The 24,994-nt window shown below is 35.9% G+C and overlaps 1 protein-coding gene across 14 annotated transcripts in view, besides 3 other annotated features; it reads right to left on the reverse strand.

The window, feature by feature from the left end:
- Positions 1 to 24,994, reverse strand: part of DOCK7 (dedicator of cytokinesis 7) — a 233,661-nt gene that overhangs the window by 16,617 nt on the left and 192,050 nt on the right. For 4 of the 14 annotated variants that reach the window (NM_001272000.2, NM_033407.4, NM_001330614.2 and 1 more), the window contains 10 exons: positions 24,239 to 24,339; positions 22,933 to 23,125; positions 21,362 to 21,505; positions 17,592 to 17,723; positions 16,056 to 16,070; positions 6,358 to 6,483; positions 4,725 to 4,814; positions 4,365 to 4,601; positions 3,866 to 4,009; positions 2,640 to 2,746 (listed from right to left, as the gene is read on the reverse strand). In NM_001272000.2, coding sequence (NP_001258929.1) covers positions 2,640 to 2,746; positions 3,866 to 4,009; positions 4,365 to 4,601; positions 4,725 to 4,814; positions 6,358 to 6,483; positions 16,056 to 16,070; positions 17,592 to 17,723; positions 21,362 to 21,505; positions 22,933 to 23,125; positions 24,239 to 24,339 — 1,289 coding nt within the window. Of the gene's footprint in view, positions 1 to 2,639; positions 2,747 to 3,865; positions 4,010 to 4,364; positions 4,602 to 4,724; positions 4,815 to 6,357; positions 6,493 to 10,083; positions 10,183 to 13,926; positions 14,312 to 16,055; positions 16,071 to 17,591; positions 17,724 to 21,361; positions 21,506 to 22,932; positions 23,126 to 24,238; positions 24,340 to 24,994 lie in introns of those variants that run through there. The other 10 variants (XM_047432967.1, XM_047432966.1, XM_047432964.1 and 7 more) reach the window with 4 other exon arrangements.
- Positions 9,477 to 9,632: a silencer, noted in NCBI's record as "fragment chr1:62946490-62946645 (GRCh37/hg19 assembly coordinates)". NCBI's record gives its function as "represses an EF-1alpha promoter that drives an FKBP-Casp9 reporter gene in an ReSE screen in K562 erythroleukemia cells {active_cell/tissue: K562}" and the evidence as "EXISTENCE:reporter gene assay evidence [ECO:0000049][PMID:32094911]".
- Positions 9,477 to 9,998: a biological region, named in NCBI's record as "H3K4me1 hESC enhancer GRCh37_chr1:62946511-62947011".
- Positions 9,498 to 9,998: an enhancer, noted in NCBI's record as "H3K4me1 hESC enhancer chr1:62946511-62947011 (GRCh37/hg19 assembly coordinates)". NCBI's record gives its function as "activates a minimal SCP1, AML or CMV promoter by ChIP-STARR-seq in naive H9 embryonic stem cells {active_cell/tissue: H9 hESC(naive)}" and the evidence as "EXISTENCE:reporter gene assay evidence [ECO:0000049][PMID:30033119]".

The following is a 24,994-nucleotide window of genomic DNA, read 5'->3' on the forward strand; positions in this document are numbered from 1 at the left end:
GTACTACATACTGTGAGCCAATAAAAATGTTCATGTAGGCTGGGCATGGTGGTTCTTCCCTGTAATCCTAGTACTTTGGGAGGCTGAGGTGGGAGGATAGCTTGAGGCCAAGAGTTCGAGACCAGCCAGGGCAACATAGCGAGACTTCATCTCTACCAAAAACACCCAGCCAACCAAACATAACCAGGCATGGTGGTGCACACCATAAGGCTGAGACAGGAGGATCCCTTGAACCCAGGAGTTTGAGGCTGCAGTGAGTTGTGATTGTGTCACTGCACTACAGAGTCTGGGCGACAAAGTGAGACCTTGTCTCTAAAACAAAAAATGTTCATGTACTGTGCCTCAGTCATCTCATGCTGGAAATTTTAATTTAACAAAAGAAAAAGATCCATTGTAGTATAAACTATACCACATTCAAATTCAACTTAAATTCCAGTATATTAATTTTAGGAAATAATGTAACCATTAAAATTATAGTTTAAACTCTAATTGAAAAATAAGAATTTAAGATTATAAGTATATTATGACTACAGTATATTAATTTGAAGAATATAACCATTAGAATAGTTTAAACTTTAATTGAAAAATAATTTAAGATTATACGTATGACTATTGTAAAATACATATGCATAAAGGTATACTATTTAGTTACCATACTGAATGGTAACACACAAAAATAAAAAATGTAGTATTGGCTATAACTCCTTTGTAAGGTTTATATTATGTAGTTTTATTTTTGTTGCTGTTATTTCGTTTTTTTTGTTTTGTTTTGTTTTTTTAGATGGAGTACTCACTCTGTTGCCCAGGCTGGAGTGCAGTGGCATGATCTCGGCTCACTGTAACCTCCACCTCCTGGGTTCAAGCAATTCTCTCTGCCTCAGCCTCCCAAGTAGCTGGGATTACATGCGCCCACCACCATGCTCGGCTAATTTTTGTATTTTTCAGTAGAGAGGGCTTTCACCATGTTGGCCAGGCTGGTCTTGAACTCCTGAGCTCTGGTGATCCACCCGCCTCGGCCTCCCAAAGTGCTGGAATTACAGGCGTGAGCCACTCACGCCCCACCTGTTTGTTTTTTTGCAATATAAAAGGAGAAAACCTTCTCTACAGATAGTAACACTTAAGGAGACCTGTTGACTACAGGAATTCATTACCCTACAGTAAATGTATACAAAAAGAAGGACATTTAAGAATTGTAGTCATGGCAAAATATTCCAAAAACAAAAGCAAGAAACAAAGCACTTGATTGTTACTAAATGTCTATGACCTAAAGAAGTATGTACTGTTCCATAATCATCTGGTTTACAAAGATGGTAGGGTGTATTTTGTTGTTGTTTTCTTACACCTCCCAAATAATAAAATTAATGCCAGAAATCAGTCAATTCTAAAAGCAGGAAACAGGTTTCTTTCTATTACTACCACAGTTCACCTGCTAAATACTTGCTTTCCTTCTGAGAGTCTAGAATTTTGGTACATCTCAGAGAGAGAGTGCCTACATGACCAGCTCCTGATAAAAACTTTTGGCACTAAGTCTCCAATGAGGTTCCCTACAACATTTCACACCTGCTGTCACAACTCATTGCTGGAGGAATTAAGCAAGTCCTGTGTGACTTGACTGGCAGAGGACCCGTTGAAGCTTGCTCCTGGTTTCCTCCAGATTTCACTCCACGCACCTTTTTCCTTTGCTGACTTTACTTGGTATTCTTTCAGTGCAATAAATCACAGGCACCAGTATAACTATATGCTGAGTCCTGTGAGTCCTCCTAGCAAATCACTGAAATTGGGGATAGTCTTGGGGATGGACACACCCATAAATTATTTCACCTAATCTGCACAGCTTCCCTACGGGAGGTAGATATCATTATCTTTACTTTATAGATTAGAAAATGCAGGATCATAGAAATTAAGTGACCTGGAAAAGCACAATTAATGATAAGGTCAGGATCTGAACACAAGTTTTTTGCTTCCAAGTTTACTGCTTGTAAGTATTCTGGGGGGAGGGAAGCAGAAACTCAAATACTGAAGATTCACAACAAATAGTAGCTTTTAAATTAAATGATCTAATAGTAGTTTCAAGTTAATAAAATTTCCTGAGCCTTGGCTTTTCTAATTTTTAAAATTAAATACATGGCACTATAGAGTATGGTAGGGTTGTGGGAGAGGGGAATAAGTATATGCTATTAAAGAGTAGTAAATTCTACACAGATTACTTATTATTGTCAACCGCTTTTCTGTTTTTTTGTTTTCTCTCTCTCTCTCTTTCTGACACAGGCTCCTGCTCTGTCACCCAGGCTGGAGTGCAGTGTACAATCATAGTTTACTACAGCCTCCAACTCCTAGCTCAAGCAATTCTCCTGTCTCAGCCTCCCGAGTAGCTGGCACTACAGGCGCACAACCTACACTTGGCTAATTTTTAAATTTTTTTCGTAGAGATGGGGTCTTGCTTTGTTTTCCAGGCTGGTCTCAAACTCCTGGCCTCAAATGATTCTTCTGCCTCAGCCTCCCAAAGTGCTGAGATTGCAGGTGTAAGCCACTGTGCCTAGCCTATTTTCTCTTTTCAATGGTTCCTTAAGGCCCTTATGTCATACTGTGGTATTGGACAGTCTCAATTTGAAGATCTTTACGCAGAAAGCCTTGAATACCTTTTAGTAAAATCTTTAAAGCAGAGTCGCAGTTTATTATGATGTCTGAAGAGCTTTGGGTCACTAGGTATTTCAGACAGAAAAACCTGGGCAACTTCCAAAGGCCCCTGCAAAATAAGAAAATAAGAAGTGTGTTTTTTTGTTATCTCTAAAATCACAGAGACAGAATTTACTCAAATGATTTTTCTTAGCTCTGAGATGGCTGCATTTAAGCTTAATGCATATATGCCTATGCCTATATTAAAACTCCACAGACTATTTCAGTATTTTCTAATTTCATTCTACATTCTTATCTAGTGGAATTAACTTCTTATGAGTTTATTCTTCAAAGAAACAGAATAGGAACTCAAGGACTGACTACTATGTTCATTAATGTATTTTGCTTTGTATTTTTCACATTCTTTAATGTATCCTGGATGTAAAAGTTGTCAAGCTACTACATCTGCCAATCCGCTGATTATCAGAGTTGATTTTGCTAAAACAGGTTCCCTCAGTATTCCAAAGGTATTCCGGACATTGTGTTAAAGAAGATAATCTTTTGTAAGCTACATCATTTGGAGACAAAACCTTAAAATCGTGCATGTTTCTAAGAGCTTTTGTAAAGGTCTTAAGGTATTTATTTCAGTTTTGGTGGGGCACTTTTTGGCTTTGTTCTTTTAATCTGAAAAGTAGTTAAGACATGGTACAGGAAATCTTACTTGAAGCCTTTCTGTATTTTCCCTTATCATGGAATATTCCTAAGACTGGGGCCATGCCTAAAATCATAAACAAGATAATTTTAATGAACCAACCACAAGGACTAATGGGGATGGCTTCTAATCTGCATATGACAAAAGAACAATAATTTCTTGTGTCAATATATTTTTCAAATTAAAAAAATGATTCCATATCACTTATTTAATCCTCACAACTTATTGTAAAGGAGATCTGGGGAAGGTAACATCAGGGAGAATCTAACATAGTAGAGGTTCGCAAATATGTACATAGCTCTGAAAATGAGTCCTTGTTTTAAAGATCACATTCTTTTGTACAAGCTTTTTAAGGAAATATTATTTTAAGTGAATCAATTCCTTCTTAATAGAATTTATAAGATCGCATAGGTAGAAAAATACAGGCAGTAGAGAAGGCAGATCCTTTTCATCTGACTTAACAATTATTTCTGATCTGAAATTATCCCAAATCGTATTTACAGCTTAAATCACACAGTGCTAGCAAAAAGCACTAACCTGATTCACTGTGGTGCCTACAGATCCCTGGAGTACCATCTGAAGCATTTTGGGGTCTGCGGGATCCTGATGTGTTGCAAATGCCAACTCCTGTGTCTTTTTCTGCATGTCCTCAATAGCAACTTCAATTGGTGTTAAGATGATCTGAGTAAAAGAGCATCTGTTAAATCAGTGTACTGACTGAAAACTATTTAATGAACTTTATGTATAATCAACTGAAATTAGAAAAAAAAAAGATCAATTGTAAACTTTCATGTAACAATAAAATTCCAAACTTGGATTCCTAAATGAAAAAAAAAAAATCAACCTTTTAAAGAAAAAGCTGGGGGTGAATTAGGGTCTTAGAAAAGAAGTAAAAAATTGAGGACTCAAAAATGGGTAAAGTTCTAATATGTTATGGTATAAGGGATGGTACATATCTTCTGGTACATCTGAGTTGTTGTTACATGGCTTGAATGTATTTGCTTCACTAATGCTGTTTGCCCATTAATGGACTTACCTCTTCTTTATGAGTGACATTGACCCTTGTTTTAATATAAGGAAAGGCATGAGACGTAGTCAGAATGGTCTTCCTTTTGAATTGTTCATGAAGTTCCCCATGGGCACGGCCATCTAAAGTAAAGGGTGTACAGTACATGAATCGACGAAGATTGTAATTTTTGTCGAAATAGGTGATTCTGTCCTTCATCTCATATGTGTCAAAGTATGGCTCCACATAGGTAATCTGAATATATGCCTAGGAAAGAAAAAAGTCCTTCATTTCCTCACTGTTAAGTCATCATTTAGTCTTTCTCAAACAAAATTGCACAGAGGATTTCAAAGAGATGTCTATATGTCATTATAGTCGAATCAACTATACCTTGTTAGGATCTAATTTACACTTGTCTACAGGATTAGAGTCTTTGATTACTTCAACCACATCCTCTCCAAATCTTTCTCCGTAAAATCCCTACAATAAAGAAAAAGAAACATTTTATATGAAGTTAAAAAGACTGCGAAATAGAGAAGGCCTGAGGGTGACTCCTGAGCAAAATTAGGAGAATTAGTGAGTTCTGTACAATCATATCAATAATTAAAAGTAATGATTTAGGCTTACAAAAATTATACTAGCTTATAAATTAGCATGGTCTCGGTCCATATTTATTTGACATTATTCCCATCCACAAACTTTAAATAACACAAAATATCAGAAAACAACAATTTTCTCCAGTAAAAATACAGGATTCCACAAGAAGTCCTCAAGAGAAACAAAAGGGAACAGAAAGCAAAGACAAAAGAAACTCATTATTGTTGATGTATAAAAATCTTAGTTTTACTGAGTTTATTGTGGCTTGATTTCTTAGAGACCATGGGTTAATGAATAAACATTCATTTTTATGAACTATTTTTTTAATCCCAGAATTTTCAAATAAAAGCATTGACCTGTTGCAGTTCTCTATGGGTTTACATTTTGAAAAGGCAACCTTAGGTCAAGAATATAGTGACTACTCCATATGACACTGAGTAGCAGCAGCATGGGTAAAGGATGAAGCTATTCAAAAGGAAAAATCGAATTTGAATCTTCAAAGGAGAAACCCCCACTGCTATCCCAAAGGTAATTTTTATAATTGAGTAAGTCTCAATTAATATTTCCCAAGACTTACACCTAACCTCTTGAAAAATAAAAAGTCACAGTTTGAGCCAATTTATGTCAGTTTGGCCAGAGAAGTCACCAATAGGAATATAACATTCAAGAAATTAACATCAGTGAGAATAAAAACAAGCCCAGAGCACTACTTCTCTTTGTGAATACAAATCACCTGGGGATCTTGTTAAAATGCAGACTTTGATTCACAGGGGCTGGGGTGGGGTCTGAGGTTCTGCATTTCAAACAATCTCCCAGGTGAACCCAATGCTTCCGGTCCATCCACTACACTTTGAGTAACAAAAATAGAGAAAGGTTGGAAAGAATAACTATAACAGAAAATACTAGTTAGCCCAGTAAATATAAAACGCAATCATTTATGGTGAAAATTAAGAAATTATAAAGGTTAAAGGAAGTGTTTTTAAGGTGTGATTTCAGGCTTTTACGTTCTAAAGATACCTCACCTGGAACCAGTTAAGCCAAAGAGATAATATGCTTGGGTCAGAAATTTCTTAGGGTTCTGGTTCTAGTTCAATTATTAGCTACTACTTAATTCTTTGTCTTTTTCAACAAAATGTGGGATTATACTATATATTTCTCCGTTAAGTCGCAGTAATTCTGAAGGATACAGGGGTTTCTAAAATATGTGTGAAAATAGTCTCAAAAAATAGACAATATTACTATTTTATTGCTGCCATAAAAGATTTGAAAGAGTATTATTGTAACTATTAAAAGTCCTTATTCTCTAACGGAGTAGTTTACTTGGCAAGATCTGGCTTACTAAATGATTAGATCTGGATCTGAAAGTCTAATCATCAGAGAGAATACAAACTAAAGATGACATTTTATGAACCACCACAGCATTCACCTCCAATCTGTGAGATATCTCTGCAAGTTTGGTTATTGCAGGCTCCTTGTAAACAAATTCTTGTTCATCCAAATCCCCGAACTTGGTTCCATAAAAACCAACACGAAAATAGGTGCCAAACATCCGCTTACCATCCTAGGTTTAGGAAAATGGAGAAACTTTAATATGAAATCTTCCTGTTTTTCACATTATGTTTAGATTGTTACAGCATAAAATTTCCAAAACATTGCAAAAAGTTTTAATTCAAAATTATAATATTTTAAATGAAGGTTTAAACAAAGTAAACAGTCTTTCCTTTTTCATTATTTCTAACAAATAAGTATGCAAATAGGGCTACTAACAAGTGACTAAATCACATATAATATTTTTCGGAGTTTGTACGAAGTGCCTCTATCACATTGGTCTATGTTTTTTAAATCTATATAACTGAGATAAATTAACTCATTTTCCTTATTGCAAGAAAAGATGCTTGATATAAACTGTCTTAATTGTACTGATACTAGAGCATACTAGGTCAAGTTAAATTTTAAAACAACACTTACATATTTTTAAATTAGCATTAGCCTTTATATAACCTCTTCACGTATTAAATGAGATTGTAAAAGTTAGGAGTCAAAGATAGCACCTGGCATAGAGCAGGCAATGTAAATGTCAAGACCCTCCAGAAGCACTAATGCAAAAATTCTACAATTAGCAGCCCTGTGCCAATAAATTATTATTATTATTATTATTTAGATGGCGTCTCACTCTTTTGCCCAGGCTGGAGTGCAGTGGCACAATCTTGGCTCACTGCAACCTCTACCTCCCAAGTTCAAGTGATTCTCCTGCCTCAGCCTCCCGAGTAGCTGGGATTACAGGCATATGCCACCACACCTGGCTAATTTTTGTATTTTTAGTAGAGACGGGTTTCAGCATGTTGGCTAGGCTGTTCTCAAACTCCTGGCCTCAGGTGATCTACCCACCTCAGCCTCCCAAAGTGCTGAGATTATAGGCGTGAGCCACCGCACCCAGCCCAGTAAAAAATTTTTATGTAGAAGAGTTACTAAAAATGGAACAGAAAAGGAAAAAAAAATCTATGAGTGAAAGATAATAAGTAAAAAATTTTTGAGATGAGTTGGTTATTCTAAATCACCCAAACCACCCATTGGCATGCATTAACTACACATTCATGTCAGGTACAAAGTACATTAAGATCACCTTAACTCTCACACAGCATATCAGAAGACAAATTCTTTCAATAAAGATAAATATTTGGACACTTTCTATGCAATTTTTACAATTTTTTTTAAAAAAGTGTCACCTCAGCCTCCTGAGTAGCTGGGATTACAGGTGTGTGCCACCTTGCTCAGCTAATTTTTACAATTTAGATACAAAATTATTTTAGGATTCTCTGGTGGTGCCTATATGCGCATTACAAGTAAGTAAATACCTCTGAATTCTCTTTAAGCCTAATCTGCTTTATATTTATTTTTCCTATACTGAAAAAGCAAAAGGGCATATAAAATAAGCTAGAAATGCCACACATAATTAAGCAAAATGGGAAGCTCTAATCCTTAATTTACCAGTTTTATAATACCAAAAAAAAAGGTATAGTGATGAAAAATATCCCTACATTTTTGTCCAAAAACATGTAAAGTTTTAAAGAAAAATGTATTTGGAGCTAAAGAAAGTTGAGGCTTCTAATTTAAAAACATTTTTTCAGTTACTTTATTTCAAAATTTAACACACATAAAAATTAACTGATTTCTACAGCAAATTAATCCATCTATATAGATTGAATGATTCAACTAAAATTCTGATTAAAACCATAAGTAAGCCAAAAGAACAACATAATAATAGTAAATTCTGACTTAAGTAATAAAGGCACTGCATGAAAAATAAAAAAAAGAACCTAAGAAAATTACTTAAAAATTTGTCATTTTTTTCAAAACATGTCATACACATATATACATATACATTCCTACTTTTTGTTTTTTATTTATTTTTAGTTTTTAGTTTTTTTGAGACAGGGTCTCACTCCATTACCCAGACTGGAATACAGTGGTGCAACCACAGCTCACTACAGCTTCTGTCTCCTGGGCTCAAGCGATCCTTCCACCTCAGTCTCCTGAGTAGCTAGGACTACAGAAGCATGCCACCACACCCAGCTAATTTTTTGTACTTTTTGTAGAGATGGGGTTTTGCCACGCTGCCCAGGCTGGTCTTGAATTCCTGGGCTCAAGTGATCTAGCTGCCTCAGCCTCCCAAAGTGCTGAGATTACAGGTGTGACCTGTAATATTAATATGCTGCTACTCTGGCTGTCCTCCTCTCAGAGGTTTCCAGTTTAAAACAATATTCCAATTCTTCAATATTGTGGCCCTTTAAATATTTGAAGATAACAATTAGGACTTGTTCCCTTTAGTTAAACTTTCCAGTTTTCAATCTTCATATGACAGTAATTTCTACTCTGTTGACACTTTATTACAATGCCATCCTTTAAAGTGTGATATCCCAGATATAACCATAATACTGTTGATGTGATCTGACCAATGAAGGTGTGTTGCTGGGCTCAATGTCACCTTCAATCTGAACACTGAATTTTATTAAGGTAGCTTAAAACTAACCTACCTCTTTTTATTATATTTTCTCATGACATTCGGTTCAAGGAAAAATAATTAATGGGTGTTTATTATGTTAGCCACTGTTCATCTTCAGTAATAGGAAAGTAAAAATAAGTTAGACTTGCTTCCCAAGAGAGTAAAAAATGTATTCAAATAATTACAAAACAAAGGGATATATGCTATACTAAAAAGAGGTATAAGGGAAGATTAATCTTGTTGCAAGTAAGTCACAACAGAGGTAATGCATAGGGTTCTACTCAAAATAAACGGCCAAGTGGACAGGGAAGGGAAGGAAGGAACACTGATAGAGGGTCAGGGGAAGGCAGATACAAATATTAGGGAAAGCGTTCATCCATTCAAATACTTATTGAGCCCTTACTATGTGTTAGCAAACTGTTCTAGATATTTATGATAAATCTGTGAACAGGCCAGGCGCGGTGGCTCATGCCTGTAATCCCAGCACTTTGGGAGGCCAAGGCGGGGGGGATCACGAGGTCAGGAGATCGAGACCACCCTGGCTAACACGGTGAAACCCTGTCTCTACTAAAAATACAAAACATAAGCCTGGCGCCGTGGCGGGTGCCCGCAGTCCCAGCTGCTCGGGAGGCTGAGGCACGAGAATGGCGTGAACCCGGGAGGCGGAGCTTGCAGTGAGCCGAGATCGCGTCACTGCACTCCAGCCTGGGCGACAGAGCGAGACTCCGTCTCAAAAAAAAAAAAAAAAAAAAATCTGTGAACAAAAGGGACAAAGAAGATGGTCAGGGTAGGTTTCATCTGAGCAAAGACTGAAGGAGATGGAAGACTTATTCATGTGAATCCCTGAGCGACGTGCATCCCAGGCAGAGGAAAGAGCCAGTGCAAAGATCAGGAGGCTAAAGCCTACCGAGTGTGTTTGAGGAACAGGAAGGTAAGCAGTGTGGTTGGAGCAGAGTAAGCAAACAGGTAGAATCGGATGAGATAAGGTTAGAGAAGTAACTACAAGGAGTTACTGGATATTTAAAAATAAATGTTTGTGTGCAGAATGGAGTGGAGGAGAGAGCATCAGGGGATGAGGCTAGAGAGAAAGAAAGGCTGAGAATTTGACTATTTTCAACTTACACTCCCTCTAGTGTCAAACTACTACGGAAGTATGCTTCACGGAAGCACAGTCATATTGCTTCGCCTGCAGGAAAAACTCACTTCATCTTTATTTCTTCTTCAGAGCTTTGGACCACAGGATGATACCTGTTTTTCTTTTGAATTAAAAAAAAAACAAAAACAAAAAACTTTCCTATAAATTAGGCTGTTTTTCTAGCATTACCTTTCTTTACTGTTATGAATCCTTTCTGAACTTTCTATCACTCCTCACAATACAGCTTATTCTTCCTTAGCGATTCTACTTACTGCTTCCACAATCCTCTGGGTGATAAGACTATGTCCGGGACGAAGAAATCCATCTACCATGTTTCTAAATGGTTCAAACCTCTTATGACAAATATATCATAAATCTATTTTAGTTTTGTTGTCTTTATTTAGCAAGAAACATTCCGATGGACTAGTTGTATATTTCCACAGTGACATCATTTCTCTAACTTCTTTTATCCTCTCCCAGTTGTTTTCCACAATGCTTCCTTTAAGTTAACTGATTTCCATATAGGCATACCAGTATTTCACACAATGGTGATCTTTCTTTCCTTCTACTAGGTTTATTCCTCTTAAAGAGCATTTACCAGTTCACTTCTAGATGCAGATCTCAACTGGGAAATATAAAACCTCTTAGATTTTATTAACTAGTGTTAAGATTTCTAATAGTAATTATGATTAAATCATATTAACAACAAAAATAACAACTTTCAACATTTTTTGAGTACTTACTATGTGCTAGACACTGGTTAACCACTTTACATGTATTATATCAATCCTTATCACAACTTTATGTGATAGATTAAATTATTTTCACCCTCATTTTATAGAGGAGGAAAAGTATCTTGCCCAAGGTCACGCTGTTAGTAAGTGGTGGAGTGGGAAGTTAAACTCTAATATATTTGACACCCGACTCTAAGCATTTTTTTTTTTTTTTTTGAGACAAAGTCTCACTCTTGTTGCCCAGGCTAGAGTGCAACGGCGCAATCTTAGCTCACCACAACCTCCGCCTCCCGGGTTCAAGCGATTCTCCTGCCTCAGCCTCCCAAGTAGCTGGGATTACCACCATGTCCGGCTAATTTTGTATTTTTAGTACAGACAGGGTTTCTCCATGTTGGTCAGGCTTAGGTGATTCACCTGCCTCAGCCTCCCAAAGTGCTGGGATTACAGACATGAGCCACCACGCTCGGCCTCAAGCTCTTAATTAAGCTTTATGTTCCCCATATTCTATATATACTGGTATAAACACCAGGACATTAGCATAACCCCTGAACTATCATCCACTTCTCTGGTGTTTTCTTGAGAATTCTTACAAATTTCCTCAAGAAATTCTTTTGAGGATTACCTCCTTCCCTATGTTGTTTTCCTCTATATTTCATCCTCTACTGCAATTATTTTTGCATGCTTGCATATCCTTTATACTTCAGCATAAAAATCAGGTTGGTGGCTTACTGACAAAACACATTCTTCCAAGATATATTGTACTCCATTTCTTATCAGAAGGACATATCTGACCATTTTATGTCCCAGTCCGAAAAAAAGAAACCACATCTAATATCATCTACATAGTAAATATTTGCTGTCCATATTTTTCTTTCTTTTTAAAAGACAGGGTCTTACTATGTCACCCAGGCTAGAGTGCAGTGGTGATCATAGTTCACTGTAACCTCAAACTCTTGGGCCTAAGTGATCTTCCTGCTTCAGTCTCCCAAGTAGCTAGGACCACAGGTACACACCACCATGCCCAGCTAATTTTTTTTTTTTTTTTTTTTTTTTTTTTTTTTTTTTTGGGTAGAGATGAGATCTCAGTGTTGCCCAGACTGGTTTCAAACTTCAGGCCTCAAGCGAGGATCGCGCCTTGGCCTCCCATAATGTTGGGATTACAGGTGTCAGCCACCATGCTGGGCTTTCATATCTTTCTTTTTCTTCTCAAAAGTAGCATAAGGGGCAGAAAAAAAATCAGTGGTATGGGATATATTATCAGGTGCTCAGTTATGGGTCTATACCAGTCATCAGGGAGTCACTAACTACCAGAAAGTATCTCCTCTTAGAGATACTAAGATTCTTCCCATTTACTATGTTTTCCTTAACTTTCTTCATATCTAACTTTACCTTTCTGAGGTAAAGGCTCATGGATGTTTTATACCTACAATGTTCTGATTTCTTTTTTTTTTTTTTGAGACAGGGTCTCGTTTTGTTGCCCAGGCTGGAGCATAGTAGCATGGTCTCAGCGCACTGCAAACTCTACCTTCCCGGCTCAAGCAATCCTCCCACCTCAGCCTTCCAAGTAGCTGAGACCACAGGTACATGCCCCAGCAATTTTTTTTGTTTCTTTTTGGTAGAGACATGGGTTTTGCCATGTTGACCATGCTGGTCTTAAACTCCTGAACTAAAGCGATCCTCCCACCTTGGCCTCCCAAAGTGCTGGGATTACAGGTGTGGGCCACTGTGCCTGACCTGTTTTACTTTCTCCTTTAGAGTGTCACATTTACCCACTTGACTACCCAAAAGTACTTGTTTTCACTATGCTCTATTCTTGAATTTTTATTTCATTTCCCTCTTTCAGAGTTGATCGCCCTGCTCATTATAATTTGCTGTTTCTAATCCTGTTCTATCTTTTAACTGCTTGGATGTGTTACTTTATGTCACTCAGCTTTAGTGTGGATTGAAGAAAATAAAAATCCAACAGAAGCCACTGAGCCAGAACTATGGCCAGTATTTCTGAACATATAAAAACCAAAATACTGGCTCACATTCATGTCCATTCAGTCCAATAATGAGAGTTAAGATATAGTCAATTTGCATCTGTCAATCTCAAAAGTTAGGGTAATCTATATTTCCTTAGGGATCTAGTAGAGATCTTCTCTAGCCTTTCCAGAAAATGTAAGATATACTTTACTAGAGTAGTGGTGTTCTTTAAAGAAATATGTTGTGATCTTTGAATGGAAAAAAAAGTATCACATGACTATGTTATCACTGGGGATTGATTTTTCTGAAAAATTTAAACTTGTATTAGTGTACTTCTGAATACAAATTCGTCACTATTTGATAACTGAACAAACTTTTCTTTTTTAACCCTGACCCTAAGATAGGGTCTCACTCTGTCATCCAGGCTAGAGTGCAATGGCACCATCATAGCTCACTGCAGCCTTGATGCCTGGGGTGAAGCAATCCTCCTGCCTCTGCCTCCCGAGTAGCTGGGAGTACATATGCACAACACCATACCTGGCCAATTTTTCTAATTTTCTGTAGAGATGGTCTCACTATGTTGTCCAGGCTGGTACAAACATAATTACAAAAATATATATGTATATATACATACATAACATAGAAAGTGGTTATAAAAATTTTCATACAGAAATTTAACATTTCTCTTTCTGCTAAAAATAATTAAATATGAATCATAAAAAAAGAAGAGTTCAAAACATGCTTTTAGGCTGGGCATGGTGGCTTATTCCTATAATCCTAGCACTTTGGGAGGCTGAGGCAGGTGGATTGCTTGGGGCCAGGAGTTTGAGATCAACCTGAGCAACATGGCACAACCCTGTCTCTACAAAAATACAAAAAATTAGCTGGTGGCATGCGCCTACAGTCCTAGCTACTCGGGAGGCTGAGGTGGGAAGATCACCTGAACTCAGGAGGTGTCAAGGCTGCAGTGAGCTGTGATCGTGCCACTGCACTCCAGTCTGAATTACAGAGTGAGACCCCATCTCATAAACAAAAATTTTAAAAGACAACAAACATGCTTTTACTTCCTACTATTTCGAGGGAAAAGTAAAAATAAAAGTGAACACTAAACAGCCATTAAAGAACTGAAACTACCAGAGGAGATAACAGCCACATGACTCCCGAAAGGTTCATGATTTATTATTTTGCATGGTAAAGACTTTACTGAAATACTAAGTTTTAGAGTTATCTTTCACACACACACACACACACCCTTCTAAAAAGCTTTGCCAACTCAAATAATTTGCACTAAATCAAGGAGCACAATAAAAAAATGAAACATGTGACTAATATATAAGCCCAGATGGGGTTTTCCTGTAAGTTGGGGAGCAAGTTATCAATTCAAAGAGCCTTTCTACAATGCACAGATTATCCTTACTGGACTTCAATCCAGTGAAAGATCTACCAGAATACTAGAAAATTAGCTAGGAAACATTGCTTTTAGAAAAAACAAAATTACTGAAGTTTTCATCGAGTCAAAAAGAAAAATATACACAAGATAGAACTTACCACAATAGACAATAGTAAAAGTGGGGAGTAGGGTCAGCAACCAGGGACAAGAGAGAAGAGAAAACAGAAAGCATTTTAATTACAGAAATTTCAAAACAAATAAGCAGCAAATGGTAGAAAACACATTTTTTAAATGCAGGCATCCATTTAAGTTTTACAAAGGAAAAGCAAAAAACAAACGTGCAACAAATTTAGCAGCTACAAAGCTAAAGGTCCAGTAAAAGGTAGTGACAAGTATATAACAAGAAAATAAAGTCTGTGAGACTTTTACCATGCAATAAACATGATGACAGAATGATATTAATGTCATAACCAGTGAAAATTATACCTTTCAGGGGTCGATTTAGCATCACGGAAACTAGTAATAAACTGCTCAGAGGTTTCAATTTATTATTTTATGCCTAATTTTCAACTAATTCTATTTAATGTTAGGAAATTTATAAGGAGTTTTATCATTCATAGATAACCATGGCAAGTCTCTTTATGTATGTCTTAACTGAGCCATAGGAATGAGGATTATATTTTGAGTATTGATACAGTCATATACATTTAATCTAGAGAATTAAGGTAGATTTATAAAAGTACTGGCTTCATCTAAAGAAAAACAAGACTTGGGTACTATTTCAGAAATAGAGGAAAACTCAGTAGTAATATTTATTCCCAAGGTTTTCTATTTGGGTCTTAAAACAAGGATTGCAATGCAAACCCAAAAAGAGAAGCCTAAGTGTTCGATCAACATAAATCTGACAACAAGTGAGAGGCAAAGCACACAACTTTACAAATATACCTAGCTTTAAATAAACCTGACTTATTACTACCTTGCTTTACCTCATCAAAATAAATTAGGGCATATTTTATAGAATTATTTCCTTTGCAGAAACGTTTAAAATAATGGTAATCAATTCTTCCTGGCATTTTTTTCGGGTAAGATTGTATTTACATATAACTTTTTGTGAGTCTTAACTACTACATAAAAGGAAGCATGTGTAGTCTTATCAAACAATATATCAAATGCTGTCAGAATACGAGGTCAAATTAAATTATAAGTTCTCTTAATTTCTTTATCCCTTTCCCCAACAAAAATTAAATGACAAAAGTGAATTTCTTTCCTCAGTAGTGCTCATAGTCAAGGTGAAGTGACTCAAGATCAAATTAACACAGTATCTCATCAATTCTAAAATGTACTTTTTTTGCTCACATTTTAATGTTTTTGTAGTTGGTATTCATCTTTCAACTAATAGGATATCCTGGTTTAATACACAGGGATTTTTTTTTTCCTTTCTTAAAGGCATATAAAATACTAGTATGTTTTGTAATTGATGCCATCTGAGATCAGATGAAATAGAGTATTTTTTATTTACACCTCTGAGCAATAACACATAAATCGACCTCTGTAAAATGAGGTGAAACAATATGGTTAAAAAAAGAAATCTGTGTATAAATGTTGATGAGAGAAATGCTTCAAAGGGTAAAAACTAAAGTGATGACAAAGTGGCTCATTTACCAAAGAATCTCATTAGTGTAACATATGGATTTCCATGCACTGCCTACGACCTCATAATAAGATATTTCTTAAAATAACTTACAATATTTTAACAAAATTTCTTTGGTTAATGAATTCAGTTGATAGCAGATAGCAACAGAATGCCCACAGCTAGCACATGTGGGCAAAGCATTGGCATAAGAAATCTGATAAAATCAATCTATTAGTGTCTTTAACTAACTAAAACATTACCTACCTCCCAGCCAGTACTCTGTATAATAAAAAGTAAAAAAGGGCAAGTCATAAAAAAACTGTTTGAAAGAACAAAAAAGGCCAAAGGCACCATATACCATAAATTCTTCTCCACAAACAGAAGACAGCAGGATATTTTAAACAGCATATTCATTTACTTAAGACCTGCAATAATTTCATAAATTGCTTGGTCAAAACCCAGTGGCTAAAATTTTGCCTTTTAAAAACTTTAAGTGAAAGTACAAATTTTAGGGAAAGAGAGCCAGCAGCTTGTTCCATTTACATGTTTAAGTAAGATCTCTAACTAAGGTGAGCTGCACTTCACCAAGTATCCAGGATAAATTAAAATACAAACTGCAACTCTGCTCAAATGCCAACGACACAAATGGCTAAAAGTTTCTCAGAAACGACTAGCTCTAAATGTTCCAGACCTAACATTTATAATTTGCAATTTACAGCTCTAGAAACTGGCTTGAGGTTCCTGTGATAGTATATATACAACTGATTATTAAAAGACCTACCTGTCATGGTCATGAAACCTAATCAATATTTTTCAACTTTAACATTTTAATAGATGACAATAAAATCCTGACTTAACAGGATAGCAGCCCTATTTTTAGACTGTCAAAGGCTTTTCAGATTAATCAGTTCATTTAGAACAGCTTAATTCATTGCAAAAAAGAAGAGGTCAAGCTGATAGGTAACAAAGTAGGACTAATACTGAATACAAAAGTGGATAGTCATACTCCAACTCCTTTGACACTAGCAGCAGTAGGTAACAGTAGGGTAGCACGGGGAAGGGAACAGAAAAGTGGAGGAGGAGGAGACTCGATAGGATATTTTGCAGTATTTCAATGAAGCCAAGGATTTAGTTTCAAAGAAATCAACTGCTAGTAGTGTACTTCATTTTAAAATTAAGTTTAATTTGATGCTAATTTTAGTGATAATATGTAGATTCCATAATGAACTACAAAGATTAAGTAATGAAATACTATTAGAATTAAATATACATTAAGACAACCATTTTATTCATTATTTTCACAAAATAATATTTTTGTATTAGAAATATATCAAAGGATGATTGTAAACATCTAGGAAAAATAAAGTTCAGTTGCAGTCATTAAAAATATTAGTAGTTTAATTATTAAAGTTTCACATCATTTAATTTAAAAAACTGAAATATAAAAACTTCATTTTCACAGCAAAGGAATAGGTATCAATTTTAAAATGAGATTCACAACTATGATCTACCTTGTGAAACAGAAAATCACAATTTTTAAAAACTTGCTAATTAATAATTCAAAAATGAAAAAAAAAAGCTATGCAGAAAGTTTATGATGATCACCATTTACTTTAGGTGAATTCATTTTTATTGTTAATGAGCTTTGCTTTGGCCATGAACTATCATTTTGACCGCTCATTTGTAGTCTGATTAAAATGGTCATTTCACGGGATCTAGTTTGACATCAGTGCAAAACAACATTAATGCTTTCAGACAGTTTTTTCCCTTTATAGTGAAGCTAGAAATTGGAATCATTACCTGATGAACAATTTTGCTGAATGCTTCTTGAAGTTTACCATGAATTGTGGATAGTTTCTTTGCATCCCGATTAGCTTCATGAATAGGAATAAGTACTTTGTAAACTTCATTAACTGCTTCATACATGCCAGCCTATAAGAAAAAATTTTGTTAAGATGTTGCTTTCTTTTACATCAATAAGAAAGAAAAGTAATTATATGAATTCGCAATATTTCTATTAAGATAATACACTGAGGCCAGACGCAGTGGCTCACACCTGTAATCCCAGCACTTTGGGAGGCCGAGGCGGGTGGATCACAATGTCAGGAGATCGAGACCACCCTGGCTAGCACGGTGAAACCCCGTCTCTACTAAAAATACAAAACATTGGCCGGGCGTGGTGGCGGGTGCCTGTAGTCCCAGCTACTCAGGAGGCTGAGGCAGGAGAATGGCGTGAACATGGGAGGCGGAGTGTGCAGTGAGCTGAGACCGCGCCACTGCACTCCAGCCTGGGCGACAGAGCGAGACTCCATCTTGGGGAAAAATAATAATAGTAATAATACCACTGAAATTTTTCCAATAGAAAATAAAAACAAATACTACTAATTTTTAACTGTATTAAGGTTTAATAAAAGAATTTTCCAGTGTATCTTCTCCTCTGGATAAATGGGTATGTATGTAGATATGTGTATGTGTGTGTATATTAATATATATACATACACATATGTGCATATTTATATTTCTATAATTTGAATTGGGCATTTTCCTTTTATCTGCCCAATAATTACTTCACTAAGGTTAATGTGTGTATGTGTACTTATCTATGCTTATAATCTTTTGCAAAAACTAATTCTGAGCAGAAGAAAAATAAATTTAATATTACACTGGTCACAGATACCCAATTCTCCTATAATAGCATCCTGGGACATAAAAATCATTTACTTTTCCAAAATATTAAGCTGACGAAGGCAATCTCCTATTGTAAATCTCCTATGGAAAAATCACAAATCTTTAACAAAGCATAGAAAGTTTTGAGCCACCAGATTTCCTTCCACTGTGGGCTAGTTGGCCAGTGGTTGCTATGGTTATAATCACATAATCAGAGTGAGAGACAAGATGTCTTTGTATTGGTCTTCTATCCCTTATCCTTTTTTTTTTTTTTTTTTTAAATAATAAGAGACAGGGTCTTGTTCTATTGTTTAGGTTGGAGTGCAGTGGTGTGATCATAGCTCACTACAGCCTTGAACTCCTGGTCTCAAGCAATCCTCCCACCCCAGCCTCCTAAGTAGCTAGGACTACAGGTGCTCACCACCATGCCCAGCTAATTTTTTCATTTTTTGTAGAGATGACGCTCTTGTTACATTGAGCGGGCTGGTTTCAAACTCCTGGCCTCAAGCAATCCTCCCACCTTGCACAGTAATCCTAGGATTACTATGCAACCTCCCAAAGCACTGGAATGACAGGTGTGAGGCACTGGGCTTGACCCAGCCTTTATCTTTAATAATGGATTGGTGCTGTAGTAAGAGAAGAGAGAGATGTTTTCCAAAAGCCACCGAGTCCTCATCGGTTCACAGATCAGCAAACATATTTTCCCAAAGAAAAACATATGGTCCTTGAATTTCCCAGTAAGTTCGTAGGAGTATATTTAAACAATCATGTAGTTGTACTAGTGAAATATGTTTAGTGTAACTAAAATGCTCCAGTAATTATTTTAACTAAAATCAGATTAATTGAAAAAGAATAAAATTTACAATTATATACAACTGCAAAAGAATTTTAATAATATAGGTTACTGTCCCCCAATCTAAATGCACTATTGTGAATTATTAAAAATCACACATATACAAACACACAGAGTTATGTTAATTAAAATATTCCTCCAAAAACAAAAAAATTTTTCCCCCTGCTAGCTTAGACAAGTGTAGGGATGGAACTGGAATTGGAATGGTCAAGGTCCTTAGAGGCAAACATTTTAAAAGAGGATCGACACCTAATATTTTAACTCTGCAAAAACACTCTTAAGAGTCTCACAATTGCCAATAATGATGAAAATGATGGTAACAGTAAACACACTAGTACTTACTTGGAACGAGGCGCTGTGATAAGCACTTTAAATACATGAACTTACTTAATTCTAAAAACATTCCTATGAGGTAGGTACTATTACTAGATGTATTTAATAGATAAGAAAAGTGAGGCACCAACAGGTTAAATAATTTGTGCCTGAAGTAAGACAACTACTAAATGGCAGAGCCAGGATTTGAACTTTGGCAGTATGCCTTCTAAATCTACCCTTTATCAATATATTGCAGGATAGGGATAAGGCCTGGTGAAGAACGAATCAATTCCCAACAGCAGTAGAAATGGGGAAAGAGGGCAGCATTGCATATTACCTCAAGCTTCTCTCTTACCCTAACATGAACCTCAGCGTGTCCTAAACCTCGGTGCTGGTACACTAAACATTTAGCAGAAAAGTCAGAGGAAGTAACTGATCCTATCAACATGGTTTAAGAAGGTAAGCATGAATTCAGCTAACTATCTTTTCTTTCTCCAATAAACATCCCATCTGGGTTTCATCTGACTGCTTTAATTCTTCACATACGGATGGAAGGGAACAAGATTGGGGTTATAGCATGACAGCATAGTCAGGTAAAGGATTCAGGATGCAGTTCATAAAACTAAAGAGTAAGGCCCAGGCCTCCAATAACTACCTAATGAGGATTACTATGCAACCAATGGAATGAGTGGTCATAACTTTCTTGGACACCAGGGCAATGCCCATCATACTGGAAAAAAGATTCTCCATTTCATCCAATAGACAAGATCTATTTATAGAGCCCTGTCAGTCTACCAACTAGGAACTTATATCACTCAGAGACTTTCTGTTTTGTTTTGCTACGTTTTTTAACTTAAAGGTTTTAGAAAATGTTTGGCAGTAACAGTTTTATTAACCAAAAAAAATCTGCTACAAATCACATGCTGGTTAATAAACAAGCAAACGAAAAACACTGGTGGGTCTGGGCACAGTAGCTCATGCCTGTAATTCTAACACTTTGGGTGGCTGATGAGGGGAATATAACTTGAGGTCAGGAGTTTGAGACTATCTTGGGCAACAAAGTGAAACCCCATCCCTACAAAAAATACAACAATTAGCCAGGTGTGATGGTGTGCCCCTGTGCCCCTGTATTCCCAGCTACCCAGGAGGCTGAGGTGGGAAGATATCTTGAGCCCAGGAGTTTGAGGCCGCAGTGAGCCAAACCACTGGAACACTGGGGGAAGTGACAGATTATTAAGATGAAAAGGAGTAAGCCAATAATGAATCTAGAAAGAAAATCTTTTCCTAGATAGTTTTTAGGGGACTTGAAATAAAAAACAATTTTTTTTTCTTTTTTTGGAGACAGGGTTTTACTCTGTTGTCCAGGCTGGAGTGCAGCAGCATAATCATGGCTCACTGCAGCCTCAACCTCTTGGGCTCAAGCAATCCTCCCACCTCAGCCTCTCAAGTAGCTGGGACCACAGGCATGAGCCACCATGCCTGGTGAATTTTTAATTTTTTGTAGAGACGGTATCTCACTATGTTCCCCATGCTGGTCTTGAACTCCTGGATTCAAGCAATCCTCCCGTCTTAGCCTCTCAAAGTGCTGAGATTACAGGCATGAGCCACCATACTGGGTCCAGAATAAATTATCTTTAAAGAAAAGTAGGGTCATAAGCCAGAGAGAATAAATACACATGTCATTGATAATTAGAGGTATGAAACTGTGGGAAAAGAATTAACAAGAGTCATCTACCATAGAGAAGGAAGCAGCTGCTTGTTCCAGTAATCCCACAAGTCCTGACTCAGTAAAGTATTTTCCAGAGCAGATACCTTCTTCATCTGGAGATACCACATCATCTGAGACCGCAGATTCTTCTAAAACATTAGATGAAATATTCTAGGGAAAAAATATATTGAAAAGGTTTTTGAAACAGAATTTTCTAGCATAAAAATGTATAAGAAGAAATAACTGAAGATGAACTGTAACTATCAGGTTAGGTTAAAAAAAGGAGAGTGATATAAAGGTAAAAGATAAATCTCTAAAAACTTTCTGTATTTTGAAGATGATAATAAAATGAAAACACCATTGCTAGATAACTTTTCTCTTAATAAAAAGTTGTATGAAAGAAAATTAAGAAAAATCATGGGCTAAAGGAAATTGTAATATAACATAAGACATCTAAGGAGACATCAATAGTCTTTCTTATTTATTTAATTGATCTTTTCAAAACTCTCTGTAAAGGAAAAAGGGTACAAAAATGGTCTCTTGACTTATCTAATGTACACGGAGTTAATGAAAAAAGTCAGGTATAATAAAAGCCCTCTTATTCAATGAGATTGGAATCAGCCATTATTTCTAAAAAAGAAATGATACATACATACCCTATTTTATTTTAACCTAAACATTTACAGTAGATGTACACTCATTCATCAACTTTTGAAGTAGATCTAAGGCCTTTTCTTTGTGTGTATGGGTTTCCAGATCAGATTTCCACGGAATCTCTTTTGGGTAAATACCGATAAGGCAACACTCTTTTTAAAGATTTCAAGTTTTGGTTTCTTTTGAGTGAAAACTTAAAAGATTATCAAATTATTCTAGAATTTTAGGAGTTTCCCCTCCCCCAATCTATTTGTCTGGCCCACAGTTAATTCAACAGCAATTGTTTTGGAGATTCACCTTTCCTGAGTCTTTGTAAAACATTCAACTTTGTTTTCCGAGAAACGATAACTTTCTTTTTGCATTCTGATTTCATCAGAAGATATAACATTTAACTAAATTTTATAATATCTCAAACCTACTATTAACAGGTTTTGAAGAAAAGCAAAGCATAACTGACTCTTGGTAAGCAGAGAATTCAACTAGTGGGTCAGAATTATGTACCCTACTAGAGGGCAAACTCATCTGTGAGTCATGGTATTAGTCATAAAATAATCTAATATTTTATGTAGGGAATAGAGAATGTTGGTATATCTGCTATGTGAAGTAAAAGCCAATTAAGAATTTCTACTGAATTCTGATTATCAGTAATACATTTCCATAGATGTTAAAGTATGTAACGGATTACAAGGCAGTAAAGACAAAGAGAATAAATAAGCATAGTGCTGATAATTCAGAGGTAAGAAACTGTGGAAAGAGAATCAACAAGAAGTACTCCTTAAAAATGTATTAATGACAATCACTGTGAAATGTTAATTCACCTTGTGAAGCATTGGCTTAAGTCTTTAAGCTTTCCTTATAAACTAAAAAAATCTAAACACCAGTGAGAAAAGCTAAAACCAAAAAAAGATATACCTTGATTTAATGTACATCTGGAAGATTCCTACCTGAAATGTTACACATCCCACAGGAAGATATTTCCGGTCCTCCAGCATGCTCAAATATTCAGCAACAAGTGCTGCTGAGTGGACTAGACACTGTGCAGCTTCAGCATGATTGCTTCGTTCTGAGTGCTTGCCTGCCATGTTCTGCAACCAGGTCAATCGCAGATCTGGAGAGGTCTGGTAACCCTTGGCAATTCTAATTAGAACAGAAATTCTTCTCCATTAGTATGTGCTTCCCAAGCTGGGAGGGAGTTTAGATAGCTCGCTCAGAGTTTACCTAGAAAGGTTTTTGATACTGTGCACAACCTACTTAGTTTTAAAGTAGTATGAAAATGTCGCTATGCAGGCCTAGAGAAATAACTGTGGCCTATGGAATGGATAATATCAGTTGGTGGGGGGGGCAGGAGGGGCAAAAAAGAAATACGCCATATTAAATTCTGACTTTTAAGAAAATAACCAGTTAAGGGAAAAAGTATGGAAATTTATGTGTTCATTACAGAAACATAGAGAAGTTTTATACACAAGGGAAAAAGAAAACTTCTAAAAGGTACTTTTATTACTTTATTTCAAAGAGATTAAATTGTTTTATTTGTGCTTTTAATGAACCCCAAAACTGCAGGAACAGAGGGTCATATGACAGAGAAAAATTCTTAAGTTTTACTATTGTATCTATTAAGGTGTTAATACAATACGATTTATGGAGTTTTCAAAATGTGCCCTTAGAAATATCATTCTTCAGTCATAACTGTATTGAAAATCAGGTAATTAATGTTATCGTAAAACATTCATATACTGTATTTTCTTCTGAAAAGACTGAGTTTTACACTGAAAATATTGGTATGGGCCTTCAAAGGAACTCTGGGGCCCAGGACACCAAGGTGTTAAATGTGTGTTATGAATACTTAAAAAAATCCTCGTTTTTGATAATCAATAAGTACATTTGCATTGTTCTTAAAAGAAGAGACACAGAAGATCCAAAGATGCCACCTGGAAAAAGTGCATTTGGACTTTCAATCTACCATTAGAAAAATCACTCAAGGCCAGGTGCGGTGGCTCACGTCTGTAATCCCAGAACTTTGGGAGGCCAAGACAGGCAGATCTCTTGAGCCCAGGAGTTCAAGACCAGCCTGGGCAATATGGTAAAACCCCATCTCTACAAAAAAGTAAAAAATAAAAATAAAAACAATAAAGAATGTAAATAAAGAAAAATCACAAATCATTTTTGTGTGTTTATTTTTTTCATCTAATGCTTACTGTATGTCTTACTAAGTCCCTTATACAAAGCATAAATGAATCAAATAAATGCTACCTGTACATTAGATCAATCAACATTTCAGGATCCTCCTGGTGTTCCTTCATTTTCACAGTATCAGAAAGAATCATATGGAGATTGAAAACCAGATCCTGGACCTGCAGCAGAGAATTATATGAAAAACATTCTTGAATTGTCATTCATCCATAATCACCAAATTAGTTTCAGAGATATTTCAGATAAATATCTAAAGATTTCAAAACAAGTTGTAGGATACTGATATGATTCTGTACAGTATAGGTATGTGGGGATATGGTAAGTGAAGGGTAGTAAACTTTATATAAATTCCTCAGCAGACTATGTTTATTTTTGTTCTTTCACCTGGAAACAAGCAGAACTGTAAGTAGAAATAAAACAGAGGGATATGGGAAATACAAGAATACAAAAGGAAAATTCTCTCCTATATTTCTGATTTTACTAAAAGGTAGTTTGTAGAAACTTTAGTTTTTAAGGCATATTATTGTTTGATTAATAAGTAGGAACGTTTCATCATAAAGCTTTGTCTGCACTGTCCAAGTCTGCTGTTCTACTTATTATAAATGCACAGAATTAAACACCACAGAATTAATTATTTCCAAAAAGAAGGGTAGCTTAATAAAACAAAGAGATTCAGTCCTATCTATGGCACATGATGTGTGGATTGAAAATGAAATAAATGATCCTCCAGCAAAAATCAACTTTTGATTTAACAATTTGGAAAGTGCCTATTTAACAAGCCTATTTCAATTAATGATCTAGAAAGCAGCATTTCTG

The sequence above is a fragment of the Homo sapiens genome, chromosome 1, assembly GCF_000001405.40.
Source record: "Homo sapiens chromosome 1, GRCh38.p14 Primary Assembly".
NCBI lineage: Eukaryota > Metazoa > Chordata > Mammalia > Primates > Hominidae > Homo > Homo sapiens.